Raw genomic sequence first — 17,423 nt, 5'->3', positions numbered from 1 at the left:
TGCCAGTACCAGATTGTTTTGATTGTTGTAACTTTATAGTAAGTCTTAATATCAGGCAGTCTAAAACCTCCAACTTACTTTTTTATTGAAATTGCTTTTGATATATTTAGGCTTTTATATTTCTGTATTAATTTTATAGTCAACTAGCCAACTCCACCAAATAGCCAACTGGGATTTTGACTGGAATTGAATTGAATCTGTAGATCAATTTGGGGAGAATTGACATTTAAACAATACTGAATCTTTCAATACAACAACATGGTATGGCTTTGTTTCTTTAAATTTTCTTTAATTTCCCTCTAGGATATTTTGTAGCCTACAGAGTAGTTCTTGCAAGAATTATATTAATTGTATCCCCAAGTATTTTGAGGGATTCGATGCTATTGTTAATTGTATCATTTTTATTTGTTTTCGTTTTCCAATCATTTGTTACTAAAATATAGAAATTCAATTGATTTTTGTATATTGACCTTGTTCACTCTAATCTTGTTAATTTGCATTTTAGCTCTAGTAGCGTTTTGCACTTCTTTTAGAATTTCTACATATACAATAATGTTGTCTGCAAATAAAGACAGTTTGCTTCTTCCTTTCCAAACTGGATGCTTTTTATTTTTTTTTTCATGCCTTACTGTACTGGCAAGGGCCTCCAGTACAATGTTAGATAGAACTGATGATAGCAGAATCCTTGTCTTCTTCCTGATTTCAGAGGGAAAATATTCATTATTTTACCATTAAGTACAATTACTTGTAAATTTTTTCATAGATGCCCTTTGTCAAATTGAGGAAGTTTCCTTCTATTCTTGGTGTGAGAGTTTTTATCAAGATTTGATATTAGATTTTGTCAAATGCTTTTTCTGCATCTATTCAAATGGTCATATGGTTTATCTTGTTTATTCTGTTATGGTGAATTACCTTGATTGATTTTTTAATGAGGAACTAGCTATGTATTCCCAGGGAAAAAATCCACCTGGTTGTGACATATTACATTGGTAATATTTTCGCTATGGACTGAATTGTCTCCACCTCCCCCCACCCCAAATTCATATGTTGAAGTCCTAACTCTCAAGATGATTATATTTGGAGATAGGGCTTTTAGGAGGTAAACAAGGTTAAATGAGGCCATAAGGATGGAGTCCTAATCTGATAGGACTGGTGGCCTCATAAGAAGAGAGAAGGTTCTCTCTCTACACTCATGCACTGAGGAAAAGCCATGTGAACATACAGCGAGAAGGCAGCCATCTACCAGCTGGGAAGAGGGCTCCACTAGAAACTGACCGTGCTGGCACCCTGATATTGGATTTCCAGCCTCCGGAACTGTGAGAAAATAAGTTTCTGTTGTTTAAGTCACCCAATCTCTAGTATTTTGTTATGGCAGCCCTGGCCAACTAAAACTGTTTTGTTAAGGGTTTTGGTGGTGATGGTGGTTTTTTAGTTTTTGCGTCTGTGTTCATGATGGATATTTGGCTGTGATTTTCTTATAATGTCATTGTCTGGTTTTGATATAAGAGTGGTATTAGTCCGTTCTAATGCTGCTATGAGGACATACCCGAGACTGGGTAATTTATAAAGGAAAGAGATTTAATGGACTCACAGTTCCACATGGCTGGGGAGGCCTCACAATCATGGTGGAAGGCAAAGGAGGAGCAAAGACACATCTTATATGGCATGGTGGCAGACAAGAGAGCATTGTACAGGAGAACTGCCCTTTATAAAACCATCAGCCCTCATGAGACTTATTCACTATAATGTGAACAGCATGGGAAAACCCCACTGCCATGATTCAATTACCTCCCACCTGGTCCCTCTCACAGCACATGGGGATTGTGGGAGCTACAATTCAAGATGAGATTTAGGTGGGGACACAGCCAAACCATATCAAAGAGTAAGACTATTCTTTTTTTTTTTTTTTTTTTTTTTGAGACGGAGTCTCGCTCTGTCACCCAGGCTGGAGTGCAGTGGTGCGATCTCGGCTCACTGCAAGCTCCGCCTCCCGGGTTCACGCCATTCTCCTGCCTCAGCCTCCCGAGTAGCTGGGACGACAGGCGCCCGCCACCACGCCTGGCTAATTTTTTATACTGATAGTAGAGACGGGGTTTCACCGTGTTAGCCAGGATAGTCTCGATCTCCTGACCTCATGATCCGCCCACCTCGGCCTCCCAAAGTGCTGGGATTACAAGCGTGAGCCACCGCGCCCGGCTGACTATTCTTATAAAATGAGTTGAGACGTGTTCACTCTTCTATTTAATGAAAGAGTTTGTGTAGAATTGGTATCATTTCTTTTTTAAATGTTTATTCACCAGGGAAATCATCTTATCCCAGTGTTTTTTGTTTTGGTTTGGTTTTTTTTTTAAGGGTCTTAATTGTGAATTCTATTTTTAATAGGTAAAGGGCTATTTGAATTTTCTATTTCTTATAGGATAAATTTTAATAATTTCTTTTAAGAAATTCCATTTGAGACTGGGCATGGTGGCTCACACCTGTAACCCCAACACTTTGGGAGGAGGCAGCAGGATTGCTCTAGGCCAGGAGTTTGAGATCAGCCTGGGCAACATAACAAGACTTGACTTCTACAGAATTTTTTTTCATTAGCCAAGTGTGGTAACATATGCCTGTAGTCCCAGCTACTTGGAAGGCTGAGGCAGGAGGATCACTTGAGCCCAAGAGTTCAAGGCTGCAATTAACTATGGATCATGCTACTGCACTCCAGCCTGAGCAACAAAGCAAGGCTCTGTCTCAAAAAAAGAAAAGAAATTCCATCTGAGCTGTTGAATTTAATAGTATAAAGTTCAGAATATTTCCTTACCATTTTTTCACTCCTTGGAGGTATGATTTACATACTGTAAAAATCACTTATTTTCAGTGTGGAGATTCTTTTCCTTTCCTAAATCTCCACATTTTTATTGACATATACTTTACATATCATAAAATTCACCATTTGAAAGTGTACAATTCAGTGGTTTTTAGTGAATCCGTAAAGTGTACAACTATCATCTTTATTTAATTCCAGAATATTTTCATCACCTCAAAAAGAAACCCTGTAATCATTAAACAGTCACTTCTAATTTTCTTCCTTTCCCCAGCCCCTGGCAACCATTAACCTACTTTCCGTCACTGTGGTTTTGCCTATTCTGGATATTTCATGTAAATGAAGGGATAAAATATGTGGCCTTTTGTGTCTAGCATCTTTTGCTTAGCATGTTTTCAAGATTCTTCCATTTTTGCAGAATGATAGAGGAGTTAAAATAAGAAAATAAAGATATAGTAAGAATGAAACTATTTTCATTTTTTAATTTAAAAAAATCTTCCATGTTGTAGTATGTATCAGAATTTAACTCCTTTTTATGGCTGAATAATACTCCATTGTATGGATAGACCACATTTTGTTTATCCATTCATCTGTTGATGGACTTTTGGATTGTTTCCCCTTTTGGCTATTATGAATAATGCTGCTATAGAACATTCATGTACAAGTCTTTGTGTACATATGCTTTTATTTCTCTTCGGAATATACTTAGGAATATAATTGCTAGGTCACATGGTAATTCTATGTTTAACTTTTAGAGGAACTGCCAGACTTTTTCAAAGCAGCTGCACCATTTTACATTTTCACTACCAAAGTATGAGTGTTCCAATTTTTCCATATTCTTATCAACACTTGTTACTGTCTGTCTTTTTAATTATACTCATCCTAGTGTGGATAAAGTGATATCTCATTGTAGTTTGGATTTGCATTTCCCTGATGACTTACGTTGTTGAGAGTCTTTTCATGTGTTTATTGACCATTTGTGTATCTCCTTTGGAGAAATGTCTATTTAAATGCTTTGCGTGTTTTTAATTGGATTATTTGTTTTTTAGTACTGAGTTGTATAAGTTCTTTATTTATTCTTAATATTATACCCTTATCAGAGCTATGACATGAAAATATTTTTTCCCATTCTGTGGGTAGTATTTTCACTTTCCTAATAGTATCCTGTGATGCACAAAGTTTTTCATTTTGATGAAATCCAATATTTATTTATTTTACCCCTTTGGTTGCTTGTATTTTTGTTGTCATATCTAAGAAATCAATGTCAAATCAAAGATCACTAAGATTTAAACCTATATTTTCTTTTGAGACTTTTATAGTTTTAGTTCTTACATTGAGGTCATTGATCCACTTGGAGTTAATTTTGGTATATGGTGTGAGGAGGGGATCCAAGTTCGTTCTACAGCCTATATAGCCTGCAGATGAGCAATGTTAGTGACCTTGAAAGTAGAGGCCCAGGTTGTCAGTAGCCTGGCATCTAACTAAACAACCATTTATCCATTAAAGTTAGCCCTGTTAACAATTAATATTGAGATAATTTTACTTAATACACTGTGTATATTAGTGTCCATCTAGCATGCAGCCTGAGGCACAGAGAATAATAGTTTGAGTATAAAATTGAATTGAATGGAATACATCATTAATTTATTATCTAGCTTTCTGTTATTGTATAGGCAGTCACATGTATTTACCAGAAAAAAGTTGATAGAATTTTTATTTTAATGAAACCCTTTTATACTTTAGATTATTTTGATGCTGATTAACAGGATAAGCTGACTCTGGACACATCCTGACAGCCTCTGCCAAGGTTTGAAATAAACAGCTGGGAAAATTCAGTTTTATATTATCTGTTCCCGCAGCTGCTCAGTTTCTTCTAACCACAGGTCAGGGAATATAATAGGTTTTCCGATTAGTTTTAGATAAAATGTGAAAGAACAGTTCATGTCAAGGACAATGGTTGCCAAATATATTTGGCAGGATTTCTATATTGAATCCCAAAGGAAATACACAAACAAAACCCCACAAAAGTTAGGAAGGAGTAAAACCCAGGAACCCTGGAACATTTTGTCATTTACTATGCAGATTTGCCTGAAAGTGAGACAGGCAAATAAATCACATGTTTCTGCCAGCGTGGAAAATATTCACTCAAATGGCAAAGGTCTCAGGCTGGGGAGCTGGATATTGTCCTGTAATAGGTTCATCTCAGAACTGAATCACACACTTGGAGGGTGTTAATGCTCTTAGGAACATCTAGTTATTCCCTTTGAATAGAGTCCTGTCCTGAATCACATATACTTGACCTAGGGCCTAGGCCTTTTTGTTTTTCTGTCTCACAATCTTGTTTCTCCATCAATTATGTGTTTTCACTCTTCCCTCAGAGAGGGAAAAAGTGTTTCTGTGTGCTCTTGATCCTGTTCCCTCTCTGATCTTCCAATCTATTGCTCTATAACATATTTTATATGTGTCTTATATCTTCATTTTAGTCAGAAACATTTATTTATTTATTTATTTATTTATTTTTTGAGACAGAGTCTAACTCTATCCCCCAGGCTGGAGTGCAGTGGCATGATCTCGGCTCACTGCAACCTCTGCCTCCCGTGTTCAAGCGATTCTCCTGCCTCAGCCTCCTGAGTAGCTGGCATTACAGGCATGCCCCACCACGCCCAGCTAATTTTTGTATTTTTAGTAGACAGGGTTTCTTCATGTTGGCCCGGCTGGTGTCGAACTCCTGACCTCAGGTGATCCTCCCGCCTCGGCCTCCCAAAGTGCTGGGATTACAGATGTGAGCCATTGGGTCTGGCCTTTAATCAGAAACATTTAAAGTGAAAGCACTGTGGTAACTTATGTTGAAATACCTTAGAAATCAATGGAAACTGCACAGAGAGGGGGTAGGATAGACGTAGTGGAACCAAGGATATGATATGGAAAAAGGAGAAAGGTAGCAAACTAGGGATGAGTTGGTGAATGTGGAAGGGCATAATAATGTTAAATGACTGAAAACTACATAGGCTTATGTTAAGACTAGTGCCATGGAAATTTTTAGAGGTAGATGACATTAGAGTATGTTTAAATATAAATTAATGTTCTTGCAGTGAGCCGAGATTGCGCCACTGCAGTCCGCAGTCCGGCCTGGGCGACAGAGCGAGACTCCGTCTCAAAAAAAAAAAAAAAAAAATTAATGTTACTGGTTGTGTTCCCTAGATGTAGACTCTGAGATGAAGATTAACATGCAGGAATTTTATTTGGAGTGTTCTTGGGATCAACACCTGAGGAATCAGGGATAGGCAGAGGGAGAAGCGCGCTGCCGGGTAGGCTCCAGGACAGCCTTGCTGGATCTTACAGGGAGCTCTGGAGCTGGAATGAACCTTCCAGGTTGGACCAACATGTCCAGGCCTCTGTGTCCCTGCACTGAGCACTCATGAAGTGCTGTCCATCCTGGGACAGGGCAGAGTCGGCGCTGGGAAGAGGCGTGGTCTGCCCAGAGAGGGGGTGGGGCCTGTCCTGGAAATGGGCGGGGCATGCCCTGGTAGAGGGGCGTGGTCTGTCTTGGGAAGGAAGGTGCGTGGCCCCCACAGGCAACATTCCTCTGGGGCAATCCCGGCGCACACCTCAGCGGAGGTGAAGGCTGACTTCCCACACCCAATGGCTGGGACTGGGGAGTTCTTTCCTAGACTGCCATCCGGGCGCCCCTCACCCTCTTGCTGCTCAGCTCCAGGTCGTCGTGGGTTCAGGGCTCAGCTGCACGCTCCTGCCCGCGCCCTGGGCGTGATGGCACCCCCAGCCCCTGCCATTCTTCCCCCTCACCCCCTCTCCCTGCCACTGCTCTGCATTGCCCTGGGTTAGCCTGGCGGGGCCAGGTGGCACCCGCCGTATACTCTTGCCTTTCTGCTGCAGGGGCCTTTCTGCTGCGGGTCCCAGAGCTGCAGGGAGGGGCGGCAGAGACTCCCCACGTGGCTCATTGGCGGGGGTGCTAATCAGAGTTCTTTTGCTGCCACTCTTTGATTCCCAAACCCCATGTAATCTTCTTAGTGGGGACACAGAATCATCTTTGAATTCATACATATACAGCACCTTGGAGGCTGGCCCTCCATCCTCACAGAGACCTGCCTCCAAGCTGGAGTTCTACCTGTGCCTGGTTGTGGACCCACTCCCTCATCTCTTTTGCTGTACAATGATTCCCCAGGTCTACACGGTGCTATATGGAATTCCACATCAGTGAATCAAATCCTCTGTAAGATTTCAGATAGTGGTGCTGGCTAAGGCCCTGAAGGGAGGAAAGGCTAAGTTACGCCAAGATTAGGTATCACAATGAAGTCCTGTCCTTTCTAGGATGGAAGGAGTTCAGTGTGTCTGGCCACCGAGAAGCTGGTTTGTCTCTGTGATGGACAATACCATATTGCAGCAATCCCCAACCTTTTTGGCACCAGGGACTGGTTTCGTGGAAGATAATTTTTCCAGAGACTTTGGGGTTGTTGGGAATGGTTACGGCATGAAACTGTCCGCCTCAGATCATGCGGCATTAGTTAGGTTCTCATAAGGAGCACAAAACCTAGATCCCTTGCATATGCAGTTCACAGTAGCATTCGCACTCCTATGAGAATCTAATGCAGCAGCTGATCTCACAGGAGGCAGAGCCCAGGCGGTAATGCAAGTGATGGGGAGCCGCTGTAAATACAGATGAAGCTTTGCTCCCTGCCTGCTGCTCACTTCCTGCTATGTGACCCCATTCCTAACAGGCCACAGACCAGTACTGGTCAGGGGCCCAGGGGTTGGGCCCAATATGGCATATTGGGAGCTCAGCATTGATTTTTGTTGCTGGCAGGTTGGACTTTGGTGGCAACAGTAGCTAGATCAGCCTTAGTCAGTGGGAAGCCACGCTTTTGGGTCCATGCATTAATTCTCTCCCTGCTGCTGTAGCCACTTAGCTCATGTCTTGCCAGTACTGCGATGGCCTATGCAGAGGCTAGCTGATGTGAATTGCCAGAGTCATTTTTATATGTGTTGTTGGTTTGTGCTTCCTTCAAGATGGATGCTTTCTGTTGGCATTAACGTATTACTTGGAGATTTTTCTAGTTTGTGTCCACTCACTAATATGCCTTTGTCCCAACTTTTTTCTGGAAGAGCTTCCTTATCAGTACGCTGGGCCCTGGCCCTCAGCCAGTACAGAAAGTCATTTGTCAAGGCCTTCAGTTGGCAGACGTGCTCCCTGGACTACGTGCTTTCTCGGGTGTCCCAGAAACCCTGGAATGGAGTGAAATGCAGGGCTACGTGGGAGAGCAGGGAGGCAAGAATTAAGTCGGCCCCACCTTTGCCCAACTCAGTGGGTCTCCTTGAGAGAGGTCTGCAGTTTCAAGGAGACTTTTCAGCCAATCTGCTGCGAGATCCTGTGAAGGGGTGTGAAGGTCTTCCTCTGTGACTATAGATTGGCCAGTCTCTCCTTGTGTGTCCAACAGTTTTCATTATACTTTATGTGAATTAATGCAAAACTGCTAGGTTTAAACTGCTCACCATTTTAGGGATCCCTTCTGGATTTTACCTTCCTTAAGGGGAAATTTTCCTCCTTTCCTCAGTTCATCCTTTCTGCCTTGGCTTTGACGTGGTCTGGAGGCCACAGAGCCTCCTCCTGAGAACCTCTCTCTGGTGTGTCTGTTTGTGTCCGTCCCTCTCCTTTCGATCATTCCCTGTGGTTCCTGTTGGGCGCGGCTCCCATAAACGCACAGAGCAGGGTCTGCTTTGTCTGCAACCTGATGCATTGTTATTTCTCACCAAAACTTGCAGTCCAAACATCACATTTCCGGGCCACACTCTTTGTCAGAGCTCCAGGGGCACAACCCCGGGGACCTGCTGGAAGGTGCCACCGTGACGTGTGCCTAGATGCGTTTTCCCTCAGTTACCACAGCGTTCCTCTGGTTCTGGTGGCTGGAGGGTGACCGCGTGCTTCATGAAGGGGGTCCTTACTGCTTCGCATCCACCCTTTTCACGGAAAGCACTTTGTCACATGTTTTCAGTGTTTCTAAGCGATTTTCTGCCAATCTTGTGTGCTAAGATTGTGTGGCAGCGTTTCCACAGATTTATAGCTGGCAATGAATTCTCCCAAAGGAAATCAGACAAAATAAAATGTTTCCAACATTGTTCACATACTGACAACTTATGTGCTTCCTTGGGTGATTTTACAACTTTTTAAGCACATGAATAAAAATTATTGTCTGCTTTTTTCTCCTTTTTTCTCTCTTTTTTTTCTTGCATGCAGAAAGTTTATAGGAGGGGGATCCTCTGGATCAACACCCATGGGGGAGTGAAGGAAGCAGGATTGGGTAAAAGAAGTTGAGGTGATACAGTCTGAATAAAGGTCAGTCCCACAGGGAGCTCAAGCTAGGATGGCTCTGCAGAGATGTTCTCTATTGAGGCAAGTTGTCTGGACCTATATAGTCCCACCTTTACCAGGAATAAGGCATGAGTTTGGATGTGGTGACTGACTTCAGCCAAAATTGGTTCTCAGAGAGGAATTCAGATTAGAGTTGTCAGCTGTCAGCACACCCAGCAGCTTAGGAAATAAGTGCTTTAGTCCTGAAGCGGTGAATCTGGACACCAGCCTCCACTGTGGTCCACCCTTTCTGCTGCTCAGATTCATTTGCTTCATAAGTTCTGGAATGGTTCCTTCAGGATTCTGATGGGCTCCCTTTCCTGGGGAAACAAAAGAGAAAGGTTTGGAACACAGCACAACTCCTGCTGCTTTAGCTTTTCTTGAGTCTGCAACTGGTACTCATCATCTTCCCCTTCTACTACCCATTCTAGATCCCTCCCCCCACCACCCTCTCAATTCATACTTCTGCTGCTCCAAGTGGGTTACCAGATAAGGTATCTGGTCATCATGCCCTTTGTAAGCCATGACTGTACTTGTCCATTTATCATCAACATTGAACAAGGGAATACTAAGAGATACCCAGGCAGATGACCTGGCTGCCAAATATATTCTCCTCTGTCTCCATTGTGTAATGTCAGCCCTTCCTCCTGATGATCAGGATCGGTTACGCTTGCCAGGATAGTGACTCTTTTCCTTACCTCTTGGTCTCTTAATAGTGATCTGAAGTAATATGATGGCAACCATAGTTTCAAGTTTAATGAGACTCTTGGTGTGTCCACTGGCGGACATATTCCCCTTTTAAGAACCAGTACTTCTAAACTCTCAGAGCCCAGAGTTGGGATAAGAGGCATAGTTTCCCTAATTGGGTCACTGGGAGTAATGGTAGTGTGAGGCTGCTCCTACTTACACTCCTTGTTTTCCAAAACCATATATTTTACTTCGGGACACACCCCACTAAACGATGGCCATTGATCTAGAGTATATACTGCATCCTGCAGGATGGTGCCTCGTCCTTAGGTATTATGTCTAAGCTAGTGCCTCAGCTGTGCCTTCAACAAGCTGTCCTACCACTCTATCAAGTGGGTAGCTTCTGGGTAGTGGATTCCATGGTCATGTATCTTCTTGCTTTAAAGTAGGTCTCTTGGTCTGATGCAGTGTTATGTAAGATCAAATATTCTGTGAGGCCTTGAATGGTGGTGTTTACTGAGGCTCACCAAGCAACTGAATGATTTTCTTGAGAAATGGTGACATATCAGAGCCTTAGCTTTGGTCTCTGTTACTGGCAAGTTGAACATTAACAACATCAGTAGCTAGATCTGTATTGATGAGTCCATGATGTTGGGCCCATGCATAGCCTCTGCCATGGCTCCTCCTTTCATACATCCATTTTGTAAGAATTGGGGCACCAACAGCAGAGACTGGTAAGCATCAAAGTGGCTAAGTCATTCAGTCTACTTGGTTGTTTAGTGCTGTTTCTGTGGCTGATGTTCTTTTCATTTATTCATTCTGTAATGCGTATCCTTTGTAGATTCAATTTCCTTCTCTCTGAACAACTTCTTTGGATATTTATTGAAAGGCAGGTCTACTGTCAATAAATTCCTTAATTTTTATTGTCTGAGAAAGTTTTTATTTCTCCTTCATTTTTGAAGGATACTTTCACAGAGTTCAGAATTTTAGGTTGACTGTTTTTTCTTTCTCTCAACACTTTAAATATGTCAGTGCACTCTCTTCTTGTTTGCATGGTTTCTGAGGCGAAGTTGGATGTAATTTTTATCTTTGCTCCTCTATGGATAAAGTGTTTTTCCCCATCTGGTTTCTTACAACATTTTTTGTCTTTGATTTTCTGGAGTTTGAATATAATATGCCTAGGTGTAGGGTTTTTTTATTTGTTTGCTCGTTTGCATCTATCTTTTTTTTTTTTTTTTTTTTTTTGAGACAGAATCTCGCCCTGTCACCCAGGCTGGAGTGCAGTGGCGCGAACTCGGCTCACTGCAAGCTCCACCTCTTGGGTTCACGCCATTCTCCTGCCTCAGCCTCCTGAATAGCTGGGACTACAGGCACCCGCCACCACAGCTGGCTAATTTTTTTTGTATTTTTTAGTAAAGATGGGGTTTCACCATGTTAGCCAGGATGGTCTCGATCTCCTGACCTCGTGATCTGCCCGCCTCGGCCTCCCAAAGTGCTGGGATTACAGGCGTGAGCCACCGCGCCCAGCTGCATCCATCTTCTTTGGTATTCTCTGAGCTTCCTGAATCTGTGGTATGGTGTCTGGTGTCTGACATTAATTTGGGGGAAATTCTCAGTCATTATTGCTTTAAAAATTTGCTCCTATTCATTTCTGCATTCTTCTTCTGGCATTTCCATTATGTGTATGTTACAACTTTTGTAGTTGTTGTTCCACAGTTTTTGGACATTCTGGGCCCATGCATAGCCTCTGCCGTTGTTGTTGGTGTTTTTTTTTTTTTCAGTCTTTTTTTCTCTTTGCTTTTCAGTTTTGATTGGAAGTTTCTATTGTCATGTCCTCAAGCTCAGAGATTCTTTCCTCAGCCATGTCTCATCAACCAATGAGCCCATCAAAGACATTCTTCATCTCTGTTACAGTGTTTTGATCTCTAGCATTTCTTTTTTATTCTGTCTTAGAATTTCCATATTTTTCCTTATGATATACATCTGTCATTGCATGTTGTCTACTTTTTACATTAAAGCCATTAGCATATTAATCATAGTTTAAAAAATTCCTGGTCTGATAATTATGACATTCCTGCCATATTTGACTCTGATTCTGATGCTTGCTTGTTCAGTCTCTTCAAATTTTGTGGGTTTTGCCCTTTAGTGTGCCTTGTAATTTCTTGTTAAAAGGTGGACATGATGTACTGGCTATGAGGAACTACAGTAAATAGGCCCATAGTGATGTGGTGAGATGGAAAGAAAGAAAAGATGCTCAACATCACTAATCATTAGAGAAATATAAATCAAAACTACAAAGAGATACTGCCTCACACCCATTAGGATGGCTACTATCAAAACTAAAACAGAAAATAATGAATGTTGGTGAGGATGTGGAGAAATTGGAACCCTTGTGCACTATTGCAAATGTACAATAGGGCAGTTTCTCTAAAAATTAAACAGAATTACCATATGATCCAGCAACTCGACTTCTGGCTATATATGCAAAAGAACTGAAATGGGGTCTTAAAGAGATATTTATACATCAATTGTATTAGGGTTCTCCAATGAAACAGATCCGTGTGTGTGTGTGTGTGTGTGTGTGTGTGTGTGTAAATATATGCCAATGGTAAAAGTACAGGGTCTGAGTCAGAAGGCAGAACCAAGAATGCTTATGTCCAAGGGCAGGAGAAGACAGATGTCCCAGTTCAAACAGGGAGAGTGAATTTGCCCTTCCTCTGTCTTTTTGTTCTATTCAGGCCCTCAGTGGAATGGATAATGCCCACCCACATTGGTGAGAGTGATCTTCTTTACCAATTCACATGCTATTCTCTTCTGGAAACATCATCACAGACATACCTAGAAATACTGTTTTGCCATGTATCTGGGCATCTCTTAGCCCAGTCAAGTTGACATATAAAATTAACCATCATATCCATGTTTATAAGCAGCATTATTCACAATAGCTAAAATGTGGAAGTACTGCAAGTGTCTATTGACAGATGAATGGATAATCTAAATGTGGTATATACACACAAAGCATTACGAAAGAAGGAAATTCTGACACATGCTACGACATAGATGAACCTTGAGTATATTACGCTAAGTGAAATAAGCCAGTCATGAAAAGACAAATGCTGTATGATTCCACTTATATTGGGTACTTAGAGTAGTCAAAATGATACAGAAAGTAGAATGGTGGATGCCAGAGACTGGAGGAGGTGAGAGTTATTGTTTAATGTTTATACAGTTTCAGTTTACAACATAAAATTAATTCTGGAGGTAGATGGGAGCATATTACACGTTTTCTTTTTGGAGATGGGATCTCACTCTGTTGCCCAGGCTGGAGTGCAGTTTTGTGATCATAGCTCACTGCAGCCTTAACTGTCTGGGCTCAAGTGATCCTCCCACCCCAGGCACCAAAGCAGCTAAGACCACAGGTGCACACCACCACGCCTGGCTAATTATTATTATTTGTAGAGGCCAGGTACTGCTGTGTTGCCCAGGCTGGTGTTGAACCCCTGGGCTCAAGTGATCATCCTGCCCTGGCCTCCCAAAGTACTGGGATTACAGGTGTGTGCCACCACACCTGGCCAGAATATTTAATGCTACTGAACTGTATATTTAAACATGCTTGGGCTGGGCATGGTGCCTCATGCCTATAATCCCAGCACTTTGGGAAGCCAAGGAGGGTGGATTGCTTGAGCCCAGGAGTGTGACACCAGCCTGGGCAACATGGTGAAACCCTGTCTCTACAAAAACATTAACCGGGCATGGTGGCACACGCCTGTAGTCCCACCTACTCTGGCGGCTGAGGCGGGAGGATCACTCGAACCCGGGAGGTGGATCTCGCCACTGCACTCCAGCCTGAGCAACAGAGTGAGACCCTGTCAAAAAAAAAAAAAAAAAAAAAAGATTTACGATAGTAAATTTTATGTGTATTTTACCACAATTATTAAAATTGAAGAAAATCCCCATGGGTCACTGGTTTACCAATTTAGCCATTTTCACCATTTTTAGATTGCATTTTCCTTCTCTATCTCAGCATTCTGACTAAAGGAAAAGCAAAATTTCTTACAAGAATGAATGATTCTCCAGTGTGGCTGCTCCTGAAAGGAACAATGAGACTTTTGTTATTTCACCACAAGACTGAGAAAGAAATAAACAAGTGATAAATGCCCAGACCCCTTCTTATTCATTCCACATCCTGGTAATCTGAGGCATGGTGTGGCTTTTACTCCAAGCATATGAATACTTACAATCAGAAGCTGCCTCTCCTTTCCCTCACTTTATCATTATTGCCATCATTTATGACAATGGAGGGAGTGTCTCACTGGATGATATTTGGGGTTCTTTCTTCAGTGGTCCGCCATACCAAGCATTTATTTGTGCTGTTCTCCATCTTTCACATCTACCACTTTTCAAAAGTCCCTGAGAGTCAATAAGACATGCGACTCGAACAACTGCTTCACATCTAAGTGTATGTCTTTAAAAATCTCTCCTTTTCCATGTTTATGTCTGATGTGTTTTGTTATGGCAAAGTGGCATGTAGTATACGGTTCATAAGTGAATCGATGTATATCTGTGGAGGGCAAATGCTCAATTTTAGATCTACACATGAAAGCTTTTTTCCAGGGCAGGAGCCTTGCTTTCTCCAACTAAGCCTTAATTACCCAAATGCCCATGTGTTGTGCCTTTGGCTTGTTGAAATGATACCAACTGGTAAAATCTGATGGGAGATAAAAGTTAGATGTCCAGAAGCATAAAAGTCAGGAAGAGAGGCTCTTTATGGCATAGAGAAAGCTGCAGAACTGCTCCATGGTGTGCAAAACTCATCAGCACATGAAACTAGTGAGTGGAGATAGTCACCTTCAACCACTTTGTAATTTCTACCAATTCACTTGGGGCCAGTGTCCCTTATTCACCAAGATTCACATTGGTCCTTTTGATTATTTGGCGTGAGGAGGCCCCCAGACATGCTAAACTGTCATGCAGGGAGAGAGGAAAAGTTGGGAACCAGCCTTTGCTTAAAAGGGCTTTGACAATGGAGGCAAATAATAACATTTTGGGAACATTTATATAAGTAATTATATAATTTCTGATTCAGTAGCTGGTTCATGAATAAATGAGTAATTGGGAGTATCTGAGTGGAGACAAGAATGAACATTAATGTAGGACTGATTCTGAATTACAGCTTCTGGCACTAGTAGGTTTCAATATACATAGTCTGCTGAAAGGTAATTTTCTCTGTGATATTCCTGGTATCCCTAAGGAGGGAAGTATAATTTTAGGTACATACTGACAAAATTTGAACACAAGGTACTTAGATGAAAGTTATAGTCTGTTTTAGAGATGAAATTGAAGGATGCAGTAGCTATTGCTTTGGCAAAGGATTTTTGGCTGATGCAGTGTATGGTTATTGATTTTATGATTCTTATCATATGGCACCTAATGTATCAGTTGAGTTGTGAAAACAGTGTTTCGGTTTAATGGATGTTAGGGATTTATATACAACTTCAAATTTGCCTCCTTGCTAATAGTAGAAAAGAGTAGTATGGAAGCATTACTTCCAGCTGCTTTTTGAAGTGTCCACCAAAATGAACGACTTTTTCCTTTCTTCACGCAGATTTCCTCCTAGAGTGCCAAAATCTTTTCCATTCAACACCTCAGTCGTGTACAAAAAGACTCTGTTTGTAGAATTCACGGATCACCTTTTCAACATCGCTAAGCCAAGGCCACCCTGGATGGGTAATGAAAACAATGTTGAATGCTATTTATGAAATTGGGTATCTTATTTTCTATCACAGATTCCCCAATCTTGAGGTTGCAGTTAAAAAGTGCAGCTGCCAAAGAGAATGTTTCCCTAACTGCTACCTATAGGGAAATACACTGACTGCATTTTCTGTCTTTTTGCTGGGCCGTCTTCCTCTGCTTGGTCTATGCCAACTGCTTACCTCCACTTAGATGTCAAATAAAGTATGTAACAACATGTTATGACAGGACATTTTCTGTCTTAGAATTGTTGCTGAGAATTATAGGTGGGAAGTATCCCCTTATTCTAAAGAGAGATATCAGCCTATCGATTTAGAACTTGTTCAGGTAGTAGTCCAAAATTGGTTCTGCAACCCTTAGGCCCTGACTCACCTCCAACCTTGTATAAAAAAAGGCTAGGAACTTATGGAAGACTTTAGATTTGAATATTTATTATTTGGAGAGCCTCTTCGGTGTTTTATGTGTTGCTTACCCCATGGGGAGTGGGAGGCCTGTCCCTCATGTCAAGGTATAATGAAGGAGGCTTCAGGAGAACCACTTAGAAGACTGGACAAGGTACCTATGGAACTTGGGAGACACTGACCACTGCCTGGTTTTTATCTGGATAAATTTTCAAGGTCAGAGGCCAAAAGGACTTCTCCTGATGGAATAGCAGGGGGAGTGGGCAATAGTGGGAGCTAACTGCACTACCATTGTTAGGTGTAAGGCCAGGAAGGTCACTGAATGGGACTTGTCTTACAAAGACTCTGCCTGAGAGGTCTTCCTGCCAGGATTAGATAACCCCAATAGAAAAAGCCTGTATGGGTTGTACTGCCAGAAGCAGAATCTGAGAGGAGAGATACAAGTGACCAGCTGGAGAAGGTATATCCCATGCCAAGATCAGGAGCAGTGGGGTGTCTCCTTGTTGGCAGGGAGAGGTCTCCAAATAACTCATAAGTTCCCTAAGAAAGAAAGGCAGAATTTTGGTATGTGTCACAACTAGGGAGTACTAATGCCACATTATCACTGCTCCTTCCAAGAAAGACTTTGTCATTGTGCCTATTTGTTTTTACCCTCCCCCCTCCTTTCCACTTGCTCCTACCTTGGCAGGTCCAGAGACACAAAGGTGAGTTGGGGAGGAAGATTAGGAGAGGAAGGTGGGAAAGCAGCGAAGCTGCCAAAACAAATTACCTTTACATATTGCAGATTTCTGGGGCTGTCAGAATGTAGCTGGAGAAGGAAGGGAACTTGCAATTGCAGAAGACATCAAAAATTTGGTATTAGACTGGACTGGACTTGTTAGAACCTAAGAGTGATACTGTTGGTTAATACCTGAAGGTTACTGGAAAAGATTTGGGATCAACCAAAGTGCAAGAAAAGGGAGATCTCACATAAAGTAATTAAAAGCAGTGGTCTAAGAAAAATAAGGCTATTTTATGTTTTTATCCCACTCAATCCAGTTCATTCAACAGACTGTTTATAGGCATTTTATACTTAGTGTATTCATAAAACAGAGCTCTTAATTTTCCTCCTGATTTTCTGTCATGGCCTGACTAACAACCCAGTTGCACAAGCCAAAATCATAGGAGTTTTCTTTGACTCCTCTCTTTTTTTCTATCTCCACATCATATTTATGAGCAAGTCCTGTTGACTGTTCCTCCAAAACAAGTTCCAAGTCTTCTTATTTTACTTCTTGTAAAATCCAAATTCATCCAAATTCCTGTGGCCTGCAAGGTCCTACATGTTATGTTTCCTTTTTGACCATATTTTCTGTTACTCCTCTGCTGATTCACTGTGCTTCAGCCACACTTTACTTGACTATACCAAACTTATTTC

General features: G+C 41.8%; 1 protein-coding gene across 1 annotated transcript in view, besides 4 other annotated features; it reads left to right on the top strand.

Annotated features, from left to right (window-relative positions):
* The window catches only part of F8 (coagulation factor VIII), a 186,932-nt gene that overhangs the window by 7,661 nt on the left and 161,848 nt on the right, over nt 1–17,423 (top strand). Inside the window, exon 2 of the mRNA NM_000132.4 lies at nt 15,463–15,584. Coding sequence (NP_000123.1) covers nt 15,463–15,584 — 122 coding nt within the window. The remainder of the gene's footprint in view (nt 1–15,462; nt 15,585–17,423) is intronic.
* Nucleotides 7,695–7,989: a silencer, noted in NCBI's record as "tiled region #4209; HepG2 Repressive non-DNase unmatched - State 3:PromF, and K562 Repressive DNase matched - State 5:Enh". NCBI's record gives its function as "represses a minimal TATA promoter and a strong SV40 promoter by Sharpr-MPRA in HepG2 and K562 cells {active_cell/tissue: HepG2 | K562}" and the evidence as "EXISTENCE:reporter gene assay evidence [ECO:0000049][PMID:27701403]".
* Nucleotides 7,881–8,803: a meiotic recombination region, noted in NCBI's record as "meiotic double-strand break mapped by DNA meiotic recombinase 1 chromatin immunoprecipitation followed by single-stranded DNA enrichment and sequencing in the germ cells of some male individuals with PRDM9 A/B and PRDM9 A/C genotypes". NCBI's record gives the evidence for it as "EXISTENCE:chromatin immunoprecipitation-seq evidence [ECO:0000229][PMID:25395542]".
* Nucleotides 7,881–8,956: a biological region, named in NCBI's record as "int1h-1 recombination region". NCBI's record gives its function as "recombination_partner: LOC106146144".
* Nucleotides 7,916–8,956: a non allelic homologous recombination region, noted in NCBI's record as "int1h-1 recombination region, recombines with the int1h-2 recombination region". NCBI's record gives the evidence for it as "EXISTENCE:nucleotide sequencing assay evidence [ECO:0000219][PMID:11756167]" and "EXISTENCE:pulsed-field gel electrophoresis evidence [ECO:0000338][PMID:8968748]".

This window comes from Homo sapiens, chromosome X (assembly GCF_000001405.40).
Source record: "Homo sapiens chromosome X, GRCh38.p14 Primary Assembly".
Taxonomy (NCBI): domain Eukaryota; kingdom Metazoa; phylum Chordata; class Mammalia; order Primates; family Hominidae; genus Homo; species Homo sapiens.
Note: the sequence above shows the minus strand (reverse complement) of the source record. Positions and strands in the feature narration are given on the sequence as shown.